Genomic DNA, 16,477 nt, shown 5'->3' with positions numbered 1-16,477 from the left:
AACTAATCGATTACCCAGAGTGCTAGGCACCAGGCCAGCAGGGGCTGCAGAGGAAAGAGATGGCAGAGCCAGGCACGGATGGGCTGGGGGGTGGGGCGGGTCACTCCCCCAGGTGTACACTACAACCTCCCCTGACCTCACAGGGGAGATGAGAGACAGGGGGCGGCAGGTGAATGGAACGTCTCCCATAGGCCAAGACAGGCCAACACCACCCTTCCATCCCCAGAAGGCAGAGATCTGAATTCCTGGCCACCATTTTTGGGAACTTGGTGAGGTTAAGTTGCCTCCTCAAGGTCATGCAGCAGGTTCCCGTTGAAACCCAAACCCTAAGGTCCGTGCTATTCCCACTGCAATGCAAAGAGGGGGCTGATGAGACCGGGCTCCCGATCCTCTTCCTTGTCCTAACCCTGCTGGTGGACAGAGGTAGAGACCCCTGTCCTGGCAGGGTTGGGTGTTGCAGGGCAGGCTGAGGGTGGCTAACCTACTGCCCTTAGGCCTTTGAAGGGTGCTGGGGAAAATGGGGGCTGCCGAGTGTCCCCATCAGCCAACTGAAAAGAAGGGGCTTGCAATAGAGCAGGAGAGACAGGTGAACCACGAAGACCCCGCGCTGACCCTCAGGAGGGTTGAGTGCAGGGCGTGAAGCTGGGACAGACAGTGCGGCCTGCAGCCTGACCTCATGGCTTAGCTGTGCCTCCTGGACACCATCCCTCTCTGCAATGGCGTGTGGTCCTGAGTCACTGACAGCACTGACCCGCTCCTCTGAGCACCAGCCCTGTTTCCTTTCCTCCCACCTCCTCTACTGTGTGCCAGGCTACGGGCTCCTCACATCCCTGAACGGTCTTGCCCACTCCCACCCCACCAGCCAAGGCCAAGGCCATCTCCTCTGGCCCAACTAAGTCTCCTAACCTGGAACCCCACCTCCTTCCCCCAGTCCAGGAGGAGCCCTCCTCCCAATCCCAGGACTTCCCAGGTGGGCTCTCTGTGTGGGGGCTTAGCAAGCTGAGGGCTTTCCCTGCTCAGATCAGATCATCAGGGAGCCTGACCAACCCACCCCAGCCTTGAGTGCCACCCAAAGGTCTGGCCTGTGGGATCTGAGATGCCAGGCAGCCCCTCGCCCTGCCAGAGCAGCACCGTGGAAGAACTCGTGAGTCTTTTAAGCTAGGCATTGACCTAGCTGCAGCTTCCGGAAGGAGACAGCAGAGCCCCGCATTAGCTCAGTGACTTGAGGCCAGGAAGCCAGGGGTGGGGCTAACCAAAGCTTGCCAGGCCGGGGTGGGAGCTACAGGTGAAGGAAAGTGATTCTTTCTCCGTTAACTTTGTTTCACGCCAGATACCTGGCAGTGGGCAAAGCAGAGCCTGGGCTGCAGAGCCTGTGCTCCGGAGCCTGGGCTCCAAAGCCCTGGGTTCCGGGCTCTGACTTAACTGCCAAAAATACAAAAATTAGCCCAGCATGGTGGTGCATTCCTGTAATCGCAGCTACTCAGGAGGCTGAGGCAGGAGAATCACTTGAACCAGGGAGGTGGAGGTTGCAATGAGCCGACATCGCGCCACAGCACTCCAGCCTGGCGACAGAGGAAGACTCTGTCTCAAAAAAAAAAAAAAAAAAAAAAAGGGAATGTCCCAGAGCCACGTGACCTTGTGTGAATCATTCCCCTTTTCTGGGCCCCAGTCTCCCCATCTGTAGTGTGAACGGGTCGCACTAGATTAGAGTTTCTCACTTTTGCCCCATCAGAAGGCTCCCCTGGGGCACTCATGAAAGACACAGATTCCCAGGTCCTCCTTGGACAGTGTGATTTCTTAGGTGTTGGGTGTGGCCCTGGGACCTGTATTTGGACAAGTGCTCTGGGAGATTCCATTTTTTTTTTTTTTTTTGAGACAGAGTCTTGCTCTGTCGCCAGGCTGGAGTGCTGTGGCGCGATCTGGGCTCACTGCAACCTCCGCCTCCCTGGTTCAAGTGATTCTCCTGCCTCAGCCTCCTGAGTAGCTGCGATTACAGGGATGCGCCACCATGCTCGGCTAATTTTTGTATTTTTAGCAGAGATGAGGTTTCACCATGTTGGCCAGGATGGTCTCGATCTCCTGACCTCGTGATCTGCCTGCCTCGTCCTCCCAAAGTGCTGGGATTACAGGCGTGAGCCACCGCACTTGGCCCCACTTTTTTTTTTAATGGAATTTCGCTCTTTTTGCCCAGGCTGGAGTGCAATGGCACAATCTCGGCTCACTGCAACCTCCGCCTCCTGGTTTCAAGCGATTCTCCTGCCTCAGCCTCCCGTGTAGCTGGGATTACAGGTGTAATCCCGCCACACCCGGCTAATTTTGTATTTTTAGTAGAGATGGGGTTTCACCATGTTGGACAGGCTGGTCTTGAACTCCTGACCTCAGGAGATCTGCCTCTGGACGATTCTTATAACCAGGCAAGTCTGGGAACCTCAAGATGGGAAGGAGAGTCTCCACGGTCCCTTCCAGCTCTGATCTTTAGGCGACGGGATTCTTGGGACTGCTTAGGTCAGTCTCTCTCTTCCACAATCAGAATCCCTGGCCCTCGGACAGCCTGGGGTGTCCCCCCTTCTGCCCTTTGACCCCCGTCTTCCTCAGCACCAAGGGAGAAAGCGTCGGGTGGGAAAGGAGACAGGGTGGGAGAGACCGAGGGCAGTAGCAGCTCCAGGATAGATATATTTGTGCCTCTGCCAAATATCACCCTTCAAAGATTATTCATTGCAGCAGCATTTGTAATAACTAAAGACTGAGAATAAAGACTGGTTTAAATAAGTTATGGTACATTTTGTGATATTATGCAAATGCAAAAAGAATGAAGATGCTCTTTATGTACTGATATGGAACCATCTCTAAGATAGATGATTATATGAAAAAAGCAAGGTGTAGACAGTGTGTATAACATGCAACATTCAGGTAAAAACAAAAAAGAATACGTATACAAAATTACTCGTGTATGCGGAGAATGTCTCTGGAAGGACACTTGTGAAATTGGCAAAATGGTTGCCTCTGGGAGGGAATCCAGTGGCTGGGGACGGGGTGGGAGGGGACATTGTATTCCCATTTGTACCTTCTGAGTTCTGTGTAAGCAATATCTGCTCAAAAACATTTAACATTTTAAAAGGCTTTCCAAGGGCTTTTTCAAACTGCATTGCTACCTCCATCCCGTCCCTGGTTTCCATACAGCCCTGTGGCTGGAACTGGATGTATCTCTCAGGCATGTGTTGTGGAAAAGGGTGGGACTCCTGTGACCGAGTCTGGTCTCCCTTTGCACCCCCAGGACAGTCCCATGCCCAGTGCAAGCGGCTGCCCGATGAGCACAGGGAGAAGGAAGGAAGGAACAAGGACCCATCTCATCACCATCAGAGCCTGCCCAGTGCCCCATTGGTCCAGCCTGCCCTCGAGGGCGCCTGCTCATGGGCCTTTTCCAAGTTGACAGCTCCAGCTCCCCAGTCAGCTTCACTAGAGCAGGGCCTTGACATTAGCCTCTGGCTCCCTGACTCCAAGTAGCAGGCACAAAACTCTGCTGGGGACCCTGGACTCCCCTCCATATGGGCAGCCTTGTTCGGCTCAGCCTCACCTCCTCATTGAGGATCTCCTGGCACTCGGAGTAATTCACGCGGGCGGCCCAGCTGCCATTGGCCAGGCACTCCCGGTAGCCATTGTCTGGAAAAGGAAGAGAGAGGCAGTGATGGCGGGGCAGCCCCGGCCCCTGCCTGACCATCCTGGCCCAGATGGATGCGTAGATGGATCTGTAGATGGCCAGTACAGGCACCTGCTGGCTGGGGGTTGTGTAGTGAAGCTGGGGAGAGGGGCTTCCTTACCACCCCCATCTTCCTGCCTCTTTCTGCCCATTGGCCTCCAGCAGGGGTTGGTGGCTCCCCCGGCTCTGCCCACTCAAGCTGGCATGATCATGCCCACAGGACTGGCCCGTGGACAGGCTTGACCAGCTCCCTGGGCTGTTCCTTTGCAAGTCATTATGTGGTGGCAGATGACAGGTAGGTGCTCTTCTGAGAAATCTCCTTTTCAGGGGTCTTGCAAGACAGCAAAAAAATGGTGAGACCTCATGAGTCAATTTTCACGAGGCTGGGCATGACACGGTGGAAGGGTATGCGGTGACAGCTCGCGTGGCAGGTGGCATGACAGGGCTTCTTGTGGTAGAGCCATCTCACAGAGGCTGCCGTGGGAGGTCCTCACTGGCTGTGCTGCACATGGGGGCTCAGAGTTCATGGGGCAGATCTTGGGGAAGGTCCCATGGTGGCACTTCCCCATAGCGGGCCTGTGTTGGAAGGTCGTGGTCTGTGGGTGGGGGGAACATCCATGATGGAGGTCTCTTGGACAGAAAATGACAGGTGACAGGCGTGTGTGGGGAGATGTCATCACTCAGGTCTGTCACAGCTGCTCCTAGCCTGGCCCATGTCACTCAAGGAGGAAGGCAGGAGAGTGGCCCAGGGACATATGGAGGTTTGTGCAGCCACCGGCCTGGACTGTGGCCCAGAACCTGTCACCTTCTAAGGAGATGGGGAGGGGCCCTGTGAGCTGAATTGATGCCTGGCTTTAGGGCCCTGGGATGGGCAGAGCTGCCCAACGTGTTCCCCTTACCCTCCTTCATGCCTACCAGGCTTGAGCTCCAGGGTCCTAAAACCTAGCTGGGAAGGGACAGCATGAGTTCTAAATTCCATCTCATCTTCTCTGCTGGCAGAGGTTGCCCCACCCCACCCTGTACCCGGCTCTGGCATCAGTAGCTCTAAACATGCTTCCTTGAGTTAATTCTGGCTCTGACTTCAGGCAGAACTGCCTGGCAGAGAAATGAAGCCCTGAGTATCTCACCTGGAGCCTCCCTCACTGTAGGCCTTCCTGTGGCTCCCAGTGGCCCTTGGGGCTGGAACAGGGCTGGGAAAGCTGCTGGAGTCCCAGTCCTTGAGTCTGGAGCCCCATGGGGCAGAACCCTGTGAGGATCTAGAGGCTGGGGCCCTGGGACCAGCTGAGCTGCTGCCGTGCTGCATGACTGACCTCTGGGGACCCCTTCTCATTTATAAAAGGAGGGGCTGGACTGGCTGATCCCCAAGGGACCATCCAGCCTGGGAGCTGCCTCTGCTGGCAGCATCAGGACAAGAAGGTGATGATAGGGAGCCCGTCCTGGCCTCCAGGGCTGAAAAGTAGATGTGGCCTCTCCTCTCTCGCACTACTCCCCTCCATTCCCCTCCCTGGTCCCCCTGCTGAGGAGCTGCTCAGCTACAGCTGGCCAGTGGGAGATCCGGCTAAATGGATTTTTAAAGCTCTTCCATGTCAGTGGACCGCAGTCTCAGGGAGCCTCAGGCCCTTGGGCAGAGTTGGTGAAGAGGCTGCTGATTCTCTCCAATTGCCAAATGAGGGATGAGTTACCGGAGGGCTGAGGCTCACCCAGTGGGTTTTCATGGAGGTCTGAGGGGAGGGTGAGACGAGGAACCAGGAGAACCCAGTGTCTCTGCCATGGCTGGGAAGTCCCGGGACCAGAGGCTGCTCTGAAATACCTCCAGGGATAGGGGCTTTGGGACAGAGATCCGGCTGGAAGGGGCCCGGGGGTGGTGGGATGGGGTGGGGTGGTTCTTGAGTTAAGAGGCAGCATGGAGTAGTGCTAAGAGCGTGGCCCCTGGACCCAGACAGCCTAGCATCAAATCCTGGCACTACCTTCCACTAGCTGTGTGACCTTGGGCAAATCCCGAAACCTGTCAGCTTCCTCCTCTGTAAGTGAGAGCATCTGAATAGCAGCTCCTACATCAAGAGTTGAATATTTTTAGTTAACATGCACAAGGTGCTTGGAACTGTACCTGGGATGTGATGTTGGCTGTTATTTTTATTATTATTGTCTTGGAGCTGTATTTATATAACCTTACGTGAGACTCAGAGCGTGTCCCTTGTCCCCATCAAAGGGTACCGGTGGATATTGTGGGAGGAGCCCCTTTGCTCAACACCCTTGCCCCCCTTGACATGTGGGGGAGAGTCAGGAGTCCCATCAGAGGCTGGGTCACCCAGAGGGAGCAGGCTTTGATGGGGAGAAAGGAGGTGATCCGAAAGAAAGCAGGCCCAACAAGCAGGGAGCCGTTGCCAGGGAGGATGCGACCTCCTTGTCTTTAATTGCTGAGCTGAGCAGTCCTCCCAAAGAATCACGGGAAAATAGATATTTTTGGAAATGCTTCCCATCCCTTTGAAGATCAGATGCAGCAGGAGGGAGGGCATTAGGGAGAAGGCCTAGAAGTCCTGGCAGCAACTCATCAGTAAATGGATTAATTAGTGCTTAATGATGAGGTGCAGCTCTGGGTACCCACTTGTGACTGACTGCACGGGCGTGCTCCACCTCATCTGGCGCTGGAGGCACCTGGAAAGGGGTCTTCCAGCCCTGCCCTCACAGACTGACCCCATGTCGAGAGGCCATCACCCCAGCTCCTTTCCTGGGATCACAGAGGGAAGTGCGGGGGAGCCTAGAGAGCACCACACTCAATCCTCCCACCCATTCTGCAGGTGTAGAAACTGAGGCCCACAGAAGGTCTGTGCCAAGGGCTACTTAACCAGCTGCAGATGCAGCTGGAATGAGAACTTAGGACTCCTGACTGCCACTTCAGGCAGGGCCAGCAAGTGAAGTGTGTGCCCAGGCACTGAGGGCTGAAAATGTTTATCTGGAGCATGTCAAGTAACCCTTTGCAACGGGAGCAGAGGGAACTCATGGGGGGTGGCCAGGGCTGGCTGCAAAAGGTGACAGGGCCATGACCACAGACAGCCTGGCCGGCCCCACCCAGCAGCCTGAACACGGAGGCCACACAAGAGTGGGTTCCAAGTGAAGGAGTGACCAACTCAGATCTGAAACCTGAGGCTGGGCGGTGGCGCTGGGGAGTGGGGGCAGGTAGGCCCAGACACGAGGATCACTCTGGAAGTGGACATGACAGGAACTGGTGCCTCCTCCTGGAAGCTCCTCTGATGTGCAGATGCTGCCTCCTTCCTAGGGGCTCCAGAAGGACTCAGCCCCCAGCATCGTGAGAGTTATCGTCCCTGGGCTGTGACCCTGCCTCCAGGCTCTGCGACCTCCGATAGGTTATTAGCCTCTCTGTGCCTCAATTTCCTTATTACAAAATGGGCCTGACTATATTGGGGGCTGGCCAACTGTGCACCCCTTGGACTGACCTGGCCAAGAGGCCCTTCTTCCTTTCTGCACTTCCTCCCCTTGGCCCCCAAGCCCCTCCCAGTGTGTCTTCTCCCTCTCCCGAGTCCCTCCCATGGCCAGGACATGGTACAGACACACGAGGCTGCTAGATCTGGCTGCCCCAGCCTCCTGCCCTGCCCTGGCCTCCCAAGTCACTCCCTGGGGAGTCACTTTCTGGCTGGGTCTTCCTACTCCTCTGCTGTAGCCCCCAACCTTAACACCCCAAATCCATCTGGTAGAGGAAAGAGGGGCAGGAGAAGGAATCTGGGAGTTTTGAGCTGGAAGACATCTTAGAAGCCAAGCCATCCAGCCCTCTCCATCCTCAGATGAGGGGCTGAGGGCCAGATGAGGGGCAACAATGTGCTGGGAGGTCACACAGTGAGTCTTGGAGTAAACTACATGGTGTCTGGGCTCACCCCTGTGCCCTCTTGGGACTCTGAGTTCAAGACCACAAGGACCCAAGGGTGCACACAGGAGGCCCCAATTGCAGGGATCAGGCCCCCAGCCTCCCCTCAGGTAGGTTAGGGCTCCTGGCCCACAGCTGTTGCTCTCTTGATAAGCAGGGACCTGACTCATTGACAGGGGAGAGCAAATTAATTCTGAGAGTGGCAGGCGGAATAGCAGGGAGCTGCAAAGCCCGGCTCTGGGGGTTTCGGGCCTCCGGGGAGCCAGGTGTTTACATGAGGATCAAGTATCCGACGGACCCTGGGTCAACCCCGTCCTGCCCCACTCCACCTACAAATCCAGGATGCAAGTTGAGCCTGTGCCTGTGCATCTGAAACTCTGGGTCCCCTGCCTCCTGGCTGGAGGGCCCGGGGTAGGCCTCAGAACCTCTCGACTCAAGGTTCTTATCCACACAGCTGGGGCTCTGATGATTCCTGCCCTGCTTCATGGTATTACAGTAGGCTCAAACAGACTAACCTGAAGTTTAATGGCAGAAGAAAGTGCCAGACAGACGTGGATGCAAATTCCAGCTTCACCCCTTACCAGCTGCCAATGGGGCAAGTTCCCTAACCTCCCTGAGCCCCAGGGGCCTTAGTTATAGGAGGCGTGATAGTGTCTTGCAAGGGTATTGTGAGAATCACGAGTAATGAGCACAGGGCACCCAGGAGAATACAGCGCTGACCTTTGGAAAACAGGGGCGATCCCCACAAGAGGTATTACTGTTATTGTCATCGTCATTCTTCCTTCCCCCACCTCCAAGCTCTCCCCATCCTGTCCCACCTCCCAGCAGATGGTCCACCCTCCACTTCTTCCTTACTTGTGGTATTGTAGCGGACACCATAGAAAAAGGCAGGGCAGGGCCGAACCACTAGCTGCCCCGCAGGGCTGCGGGGCCAGCAGGTGCCAATGAGGTCCACGGATGCGTTGCACTGCAGTCCTGGGGGCAGAGACGGCTGGTAAGGCACAGCAAGATATCCGGCCAAGGCCCCAGGCAGGCAGAGGACATTCCAGAGTTCTGCCCACCTCCCCACTCGTTCCCACTCACACCAGCTAGGGACAGGATGACAACAATGACCAGTGCAGAAATGAGCTCATCCTATGCAAAGAAGACACAAGGGGAAGAAATCTGAATCTGATGCTATGGTACTAGGGAGCCAGCATGGGTTCCAGAGCAGAGGAGGAAGAGAGATGGCTGGAGGTGGTGTTAAAAGCTAAGGTCCTGGCATTTAGAGGAAGCCTGGGCATGCTTCTGGTCCCCTGCTCTGTAGCCTAAGGACACTTCTCTTGGTCCCTCGCATGGTGACAGCCTGGAGCTCTGAGACATCACAGGAACACCCTGGAACAGACCCATCCAATCATTGACCTAGCCCCTCACGTCTCTGCAATCAAACCACATCTACCCTGGCCCTGCAGGGAAGAATCAGCTAAATGAAGTTGGCCCTCCTTCCGGCTGGCCTGTTCCTTCTTCCGGCTGGCCTGTTAACCACACTTACTGACCATACGTCACGTGTACTTTGTTCTGTGCAGGGCCCTAGGACAGGACTGATGGAGAAGTGAGCTATGGAGAGGAAAGGGAGGGAGACACCATCTGGGGGAGTGGAAAGGACACACTGAACTGGGAGTCTGGGCCCACTGCTTCAGAATGGGCTGTGCCACTAATTTGCTGTGAGATCATAGGCAAGTCACTTGCCCTCTCTGGGCCTTAGTGTCTTGTCTTCATCTATAATAAAATCAAGTGGTTGAACCAGATCAGAAATTCTTAATCTCAGCCCACTGGAAACTTCAACAGTTCACAGAGACCCTGAATGTAATGAAAATATTGGTGTATACATGCATTTTAATGGGGAAATGGGCCCACGGCTTTCATTAGATTCTCAAAGGGGTCTGTGACTCAAAGAGATATAAACATCTGAACTAGAAAGAAGATGTCAAAGTCCCCTTCCAAATATTTGCTTTTTGGAGGAGAGAGAGAGAGCACGCGAGAGAGAGAGGATGTTGGGGCAGAGTTGAGGCCCAGTGACACTTCAGGAGGGGAGGGTGGATATGGCCTCCAAAGGGTGGGGGCTGGCACAGTCCTGGCACCCCCCTGAGGCTGCCCCTTCTTTCTCTGCCTTTTAGTGCCTCCCTCTGAGTGAGGCTGGCACACCAGTCCTTTTGAGCCCCAGTGTCCCCAGGTTAATAACCTAGAATTGGCACAAGAGTGGACAGACAAGCCACGGAGGGCCAGGAACCATGAACCAGCGCGTGTGGGGGCAGCCTCTTCAGGCCTGGGCCGAGGCCTTAGCAGCTGCCAAGCCCTGGCTGGGGCTGCCTGCCATCTCCTCCCCAAATTAGCTTGTCCCCAGTCTCTCAGGAAACAGCACTGGGTTAAATTGGCTCCCTTTCTCTGCTGGACTCAGGGCAGTGCCGAGCAGCACTTGTACCAAATGCTGGTTTTTCTTTCTAATCAAAGCTATTCATAGGGCATTTGTGCAAATCAGGACTCAAGGGGCAGAGGCCTTCAGGCCAAGTGGCTTAATTGAAAGAGAAAGAAATCTGGATTGGGGCTTAATGGACACGAGGTGACTGCGGGCCAGGCGGCTGGAGTGGGCCAAGCCCAGGTGCTGTGCCACAGCGGAGTCTCTGTGAATGTTATCACGGAGTGGCAGTGGAAGCAGTGGAGTGAGGAAGCAGGGCCATCCGAGGCAACGGCGTACCAGGCTGGGATTTTAACCTGTCCTGGATCCTGCTGACAGTGTTGAGCCCGGGGACAGGGACTTGGGGGGAGAGCTGGGGGCATGTGGCCGCGGGGAGGGGAGGATCGTATAGAGGCCATGCCCTGCTGTTTCAAAGCTCTTCATCTATTTCGTTTGATCTTCATACATCTGGCAATGTGATTATTTCCTTTCTACAGATGAAGAAATTGAGGCCCAGGGAAGTTAGGTGACTTTTCCAAGGTCATGGGTCAATGGGTGAAAGAACCAAGACTCATAGGCAGGTATTTTGGACTCTAAATCTAGTGCTCTTTCCATTACGCCACATTGTGAGTCAGTCACAGGGGGTGAGGGACAGTTAAGGGGGCAGCAGGAAGGGAGCAGCGTTTGTTGAGGGCTGACTGTGTGCCAGGCACACATGACATATGCCATCTCATTTAATGGCACCATTGTACCTTCCTCAGTAGCTTGCTCATTCACTCCTCACTCATTCATCCACAGTATCTAGGGAGCTAGGCTCAAATGTAATGTTCCATGTGGCAGCGTCTGGAATGAACACACGGAACACACCCTCTCCATCAGTGTGGCCCCTGCCCTTCCTTCTTCCCTTCCCCGGCCAGTCTTCTTGCGCCTTGCTTTCGCAAGGCACGGAGGGCAGGAAAGGACTGGGCACCAGCCACAGCGAGGACGAGGCCAGAGCCGAGGCAGAGGCCAGCCACTGAGGATAGGCCTTCTGGCCTAGAGGACCTGCACCGGCCACTGCTGGGAGCTCTAAGGGCTCTAACCAAAGGCCTGACCCCGTCCACAGCTGGCCAGGGACGTGGAGACCTTCAAGGGGTGGGCAGGTCAGAAGCCATTTGCCTCTCCTCTGTGGTATGGTTCCCAGCCACCTACTATGCCACCATGGGTGCTAATTCTCTCTTGTTTTACAGATAAGAAAACTGAGGCCAAAGTGGCCAAATGGCTTATTCCAAGACAATCAGTAACCAAAGATACTGAGACGGGAGTGGATTTTCAATGCTCATCTTTTGATGCCAGCTCAGGGTGCTGCCCACAGCTGCACAGCTGGCCCTGATCTGGGCAGCTGCCCCTCGATCGCAGAGCTGCGACTCCAGTTCCCCAGCAGCGCCGCGCCTCCCCCTCCCTCCTGGCCCCCGCAGCTCCTAAGGATGCACAGAGGGGGCGCTGGTGACACAGCATCAGTGGCAACCTTTACATTAAGAGCCCAGAAAATCCTGGAAGGAATTGAAAGTCTGTGTGAGACGGGAAGAAAGGGAGAGAGAGGCTGCAAGAACGGGGAGGAGAAGCCAAATGAAAAGGGGCGAGGAGACAAAGTTCCCCCATCCCCGAGTGAAAGGTCAGCACTCCTGCTGGGTCAGGGGCTTGGGGTGGGGGGGTTGGGGGGGCGTGGCCAAAGGCACAAGGGCCTCAGCCGCGGAGTGGAGTTAGAAGGGAGGGGACCTAGAGGACAAGGGCAGGGAGGAGGCAGCAGGACAGGGCCTCAGGCGCCACGCTCCTGGCCAGTTGGCACTGTCCACTGGACTTCCCGGCCTGGGACTGCCTTGTGGGCTCGGTGCCTTCCCATAAGGCCTCGGGGTCCTGCCCTCTCTGGGCCTTAGTGTCTCTGTGTCTGAAATCCCCACAAGGATTTCAGATCGCCATCCTGCGTCCTGCGGACACCGAGTCCAGGGAGGAGGAGAGTGGGGGGTCCCTGGGACCCTGTAGGGACAAGGCCTCAGAAGGGAAATTGTGTATAGGACTTGAGGGGGATCATTTGTTGGACACTACTATAATATAAACCAGGCACTGTGAAAGGCGCTTTGCACGACTTAATTCATGCCACTCACTTAAGCCACCCGACTACAATGAGGAGGAGAAAACAGGCGGAGAGGGAGGGAGGTGGGAGGCCAAGTGGGCCAGGAGAGAGGTGGGGAGACAGAGGAAAAAAGATGGAGAAGAAGACACTAAGGAAGAAATAGAGAGAGGCAGGCGGGAAGTCAGGAGAAGGAGGCAGAGAGAAAGATCATTTCACAGGTGCTGGGGACAGAGAGGGTGTCCATCCCCTAGCTGGGAAGGGGAGAAGGCAGGAAGTCAGTTTCTGTGTCACTCAGCTTGATGGCTATAAGGACCTCAAGGACCTTCTGATTCTTGGGCCAATGTCCCCTCCCTCCAGTTCCAGTGCCACAAAAGCCTGACCTCTTCTGCTCTCCTGGCAGGTGGAGGTATTTTCCTAGTCAGCCGTCATAGTCCTGGGATGAGGAGGAATTTGGACCAGAGTAATCCAACCTTGCAAATAGCCAAGCCAATTTACCAACCAGCTGCACAAAGGCAGAGGTGCTGTTAGGTGCCAACGCCTCCTGACAGCTCCCTGTCCCACAGTGCCTCTCCTGGTAAATTAAGGAATAGTGACTTTGCTCTTTATTTAACAAGTACAATTGTTTCTCCATATCCATAGGTTTTGGGGAAAAGTGTACTGAACACGTACAGACTTTTTTCTTGAAATTATTCCCTAAACAGTACAGTATAACAGCTATTTATATTTATATAACATTTACATTGTAGTAGGTATTAGAAATAATCTAGAGATGATTTAAAGTATACAGGAGGATGTGCATAGGTTATATGCAAATACTACTCCATTTTATATCAGTGACTTGGGCATCCCTGCATTTTGATATCCATGGGGAGTTCTGGAACCAGTGCCCCATGGATACCAAGAGACAGCTGTTATTTACTGACTACCTAAGAAATGTTCAAGGGGCTTGGGATATAATAATGAATCAAATAAATGCCCTGTCCTCATGGTGCTTACATTCTAGTGGAGAGGCAGCAAACACACACACACATTTCTGTTAACCAGTGAGAAATACTATGGAGAAAAACTAAGCAGTGCAAAGAGATAAAGGCTGACCAAGGTGCTCTTTTAGTGTGGTGGCTTCTAAAGTACTACCATTTAAGCAGATACCTAAAGGAAGTGAGGGAGAAAACCTGCGGGGAAAGTGTTCTCAGCAGAGGCAACTGCAAGTACAAGGACCCCCGGAGCAGGTGTGTGCTTGGTGTGTCTGAGGTGTCAACGTTCCTATCACTCTGTGGCTCACTCCCTCATTCACGGGGCAGGTAGACGCCTTCAGGGTCTTTCCTGGTTGGGGATGTGGGAGTAGAACCAACCCACTCACCAGCGCACGTCACCACAGGCCTTTAGGTTGGGGGTGAGCTGCTGGAGTCAAGTGGACTAAAGTAATGCAAAAACCGGTCCTATATCTTCCTCCTTCCCCATACATGCACAGAACAAATGCGTGGGGCCCGCATTCTGGTCAGACTGCCTCAAATCCCTGCAAAGGGAGAGCAGAGGAGAGGTGTGGAGGGCTCCCACCTGCCAGGGAAGAAACCCTGCGGGGTCAGGGTCCTGGGAGGGCTGCTTTAGTGAACAGGTAAGAGCCCTTTGAAGGTGGCCTATTTAGTGCTGTGCACAATCAGGCACTGGCTTCTTCCCCCAGGTAGGTTACACAGTTTGCCTCCCATCAGGCTCAGGGTCCACGTGTGCTTGGCAGATCCGCCCATGGTAGATAACTTCAGAGGAAGCTGGAACCTGGCTCTGTCCCAGTTACGTCGGGTCTCCCATCAGCGGCTTCTGGAGGTGGGCACTTGGCAGCAGCCCTGAGGCTGGGAAGCCCTTCCCCCTATTTGGCTTAAACCCAGGAGGGGGACTCAGCCCAGGCTGTCCAGAGGGGGAGCAGCCAGGTGGCCCAAGGGCAGCCTGTGAAACACACGTTCTTGCCCAGTCAGAGGAATGTGCTGTGGGATGAATGGGCAGGGCCTCTGCCTGGGTCCCCTGGCATGGAGAGGGTGGCAGAAACCTGGTCTTTGCTCGGCCACCTCATGGCTGAGCTGCCTTCTGTTTGGCTGGGCAGAGAAGAAAGCTGCCTCTGTAGGGTGTGTGATCCATCAGGACAAGTGGATGGCCCTCCTGTCCTGCGGGTCTGTGGGCTCTTCACTTTTGCCTTCCCAGCAGCTAGTACAGTGCCAGGCATACGGGAGGCATGGAGGAGAATATGGGGCCGTGTGCAAACCTAGTGTGGGTACGGAAAACTGCAGGGGTGGCCCTGCACCCCTAGACGGCTGACTACACCGGGCCCTGGGCACCCTGGCTCTGAGTGGCCGCATAACGCAGTGCTGGTGGCAAAATCTGAAGTCAGGCCCACATGGTTCATATCTTGCAGCCACTGCTTAGTAACTGCTTAGTGTGTTTGGGCAACTCGTTTAACTTCTCTGAGCCTTAGGTTCCTCTACTGTAACATGTGGATAAAAATATTCCTGACTACAGTATTGTAATGATTGAATGAGATTAAAGCACTTGGAATGGCGTCCAACACACAGTGGACACTAAATAAACATTAGCTATTATTATTATTATTATTATTTGAGACAGAGTCTCGCTCTGTCGCCCAGATTGGAGTGCAGTGGCGTGATCTGGGCTCACTGCAACCTCGGCCTCTGAGGCTCAAGCGATTCTCATGCCTCAGCCTCCTGAGTAGCTGGGATTATAGGCGCCCACCACCAAGCCCGGCTAATTTTTTATTTTTATTTTTAGTAGAGACGGGGTTTCACCATGTTGGCCAGGCTGGTCTCGAACACCTGACCTCAAGTGATCCGACCGCCTCGGCCTCCCAAAGCGCTGGGATTACAGGCGTGAGCCACCGTGCCTGGCCTAGCTATTATTAATTATCATTCACTACCTTAAGACCAGAGATGAGAACTGATGAACCCAGGTAATTGTCAACTCAGATTCTATTTGTCTGTGATGTCATTAGTAAATGATTCTATTACCTCCTGGCATTGTCATACTCATGCCATGATTTTATGAGTCGCCAAGTCTGTGGTCTGCCACATGATAGGCCTCAGCCCTGGGGACCCACTCTCTCCCAGTTCCTGGCATGAGGCACGTAAAAGGCCCCCCAAAGGCCCTGGCTCGGTGCCAGCCGCCCCGGCCAGACGCCCATCCATCTGTCTCGCCCCTCCGCCCCACCCTCACCATCTGTCTCTACCAGTGCCCGTCGGTCTGGGTAGGTCTACGAGTCAGAAGACAAATGGCCCATTATCAGAGGCCATCGTGGAGGGTGATGGATCGCGTGCCATGCAGCCAGGCAGGCTGGGCTGGGCTGGGGGCACGGGCACAGAGTACAAATCACTAGGGAATGAACACTATTCATCATGGCCTGCTGGCTCCAAGGACAGGTGACACCTCTGTGGGCTCAGGGATGTCTCTCCTCCTGAGCATAACGAACAAGTTGATAGAGCCTAACCTGGCCCCAGAGCATGGGGGAGCTGGGGATAGGGCCTTTCCTCTCAGGCCCAGCCTCTGAGCAGCTCTCCTCCCTCCCCATCTCTCTCTCCTAGAACTCCAGACTCATGCTCAAGAACTTACTTCCCCATTCCCCAAGCACAGCTTAATCAACTTTGCAGCCAGATGCTCTGGGCTCCTAGCACCTTCTCAGTTTCCCACTCCTCCCTCCTCACTTCTTCCTGGTCCTTCCGCCAAACCCACCTACTGGTCCTTGCTCACCTCCTGCTGTAGCTCACAGCACTGGCTCTCTTCTGCCAGTTCACACTAACAGTGTCTCTTAATATTCACCTTGAAAATTCCTCCTTCAGGAAGCCTCCCTGGATTTGCACCACCCCTGCTTAGCCTCCCTGCTCCCTCCATCATTATGAGCAATTACTGGCAAGTACCTTCCCTTCATTCCAGCTATACAGTAAGCCTTTTAAAAGCCTGCTGAGGCTGAGACAGGAGGATCACCTGAGCCCAGATCTGGGCTGCAGTGAGCTATGATTGTGCCACTGCACTCCAGCCTGGGCAACTGAGACCCTGTCTTTACAAAACAATTTTAAAAATTAGGCCAGGTATGGTGGTGTGCACGTAGTCCTAGCTTCTCAGGAGGCTGAGAGAGGAGGATTCCTTGAGATCAGAAGATCGAGGCTGCACTAAACTATGATTGTGCCACTGCACTTCAGCCTAGGTGATAGAGTGAGATCCCATCTCTAAAACCAAACCAAACCAAACCAAACCAAACCAAACCAAACCTAGTACTGGCATGACACTCTACAGTTTACAGTTTGTGAAATATTGCCATAAAACTTAGTACATTGAATCTCATAAGAGATCCTTGGG

The 16,477-nt window shown here is 54.4% G+C and overlaps 2 protein-coding genes across 8 annotated transcripts in view, besides 2 other annotated features; both read right to left on the bottom strand.

Moving 5' to 3' along the window:
• The window catches only part of LINC02210-CRHR1 (LINC02210-CRHR1 readthrough), a 215,483-nt gene that overhangs the window by 10,814 nt on the left and 188,192 nt on the right, over positions 1-16,477 (bottom strand). Inside the window, exons 5-6 of one of the 2 annotated variants that reach the window (NM_001256299.3) lie at positions 8,433-8,552; positions 3,575-3,660 (exon numbers count right to left, since the gene is read on the bottom strand). Coding sequence is in view for 1 of the 2 variants with exons in the window: in NM_001303016.1 (NP_001289945.1) it covers positions 8,433-8,456 (24 nt within the window). In the remaining variant the exon portion in view is untranslated. The remainder of the gene's footprint in view (positions 1-3,574; positions 3,661-8,432; positions 8,553-16,477) is intronic. The other variant, NM_001303016.1, reaches the window with a different exon arrangement.
• Positions 1-16,477, bottom strand: part of CRHR1 (corticotropin releasing hormone receptor 1) — a 51,509-nt gene that overhangs the window by 10,814 nt on the left and 24,218 nt on the right. For 3 of the 6 annotated variants that reach the window (NM_001145146.2, NM_004382.5, NM_001145148.2), the window contains exons 3-4: positions 8,433-8,552; positions 3,575-3,660 (exon numbers count right to left, since the gene is read on the bottom strand). The exons of 1 other annotated variant lie outside the window; for it this stretch is intronic. In NM_001145146.2, coding sequence (NP_001138618.1) covers positions 3,575-3,660; positions 8,433-8,552 — 206 coding nt within the window. The remainder of the gene's footprint in view (positions 1-3,574; positions 3,661-8,432; positions 8,553-16,477) is intronic. 2 more of the 6 variants (NM_001303020.2, NM_001145147.2) reach the window with 2 other exon arrangements.
• Positions 965-1,466: an enhancer, noted in NCBI's record as "H3K4me1 hESC enhancer chr17:43900915-43901416 (GRCh37/hg19 assembly coordinates)". NCBI's record gives its function as "activates a minimal SCP1, AML or CMV promoter by ChIP-STARR-seq in naive H9 embryonic stem cells {active_cell/tissue: H9 hESC(naive)}" and the evidence as "EXISTENCE:reporter gene assay evidence [ECO:0000049][PMID:30033119]".
• Positions 10,676-11,532: an enhancer, noted in NCBI's record as "H3K4me1 hESC enhancer chr17:43890849-43891705 (GRCh37/hg19 assembly coordinates)". NCBI's record gives its function as "activates a minimal SCP1, AML or CMV promoter by ChIP-STARR-seq in naive H9 embryonic stem cells {active_cell/tissue: H9 hESC(naive)}" and the evidence as "EXISTENCE:reporter gene assay evidence [ECO:0000049][PMID:30033119]".

This window comes from Homo sapiens, chromosome 17 (genome assembly GCF_000001405.40).
Source record: "Homo sapiens chromosome 17, GRCh38.p14 Primary Assembly".
Taxonomy (NCBI): Eukaryota; Metazoa; Chordata; class Mammalia; order Primates; family Hominidae; genus Homo; species Homo sapiens.
Note: the sequence above shows the minus strand (reverse complement) of the source record. Positions and strands in the feature narration are given on the sequence as shown.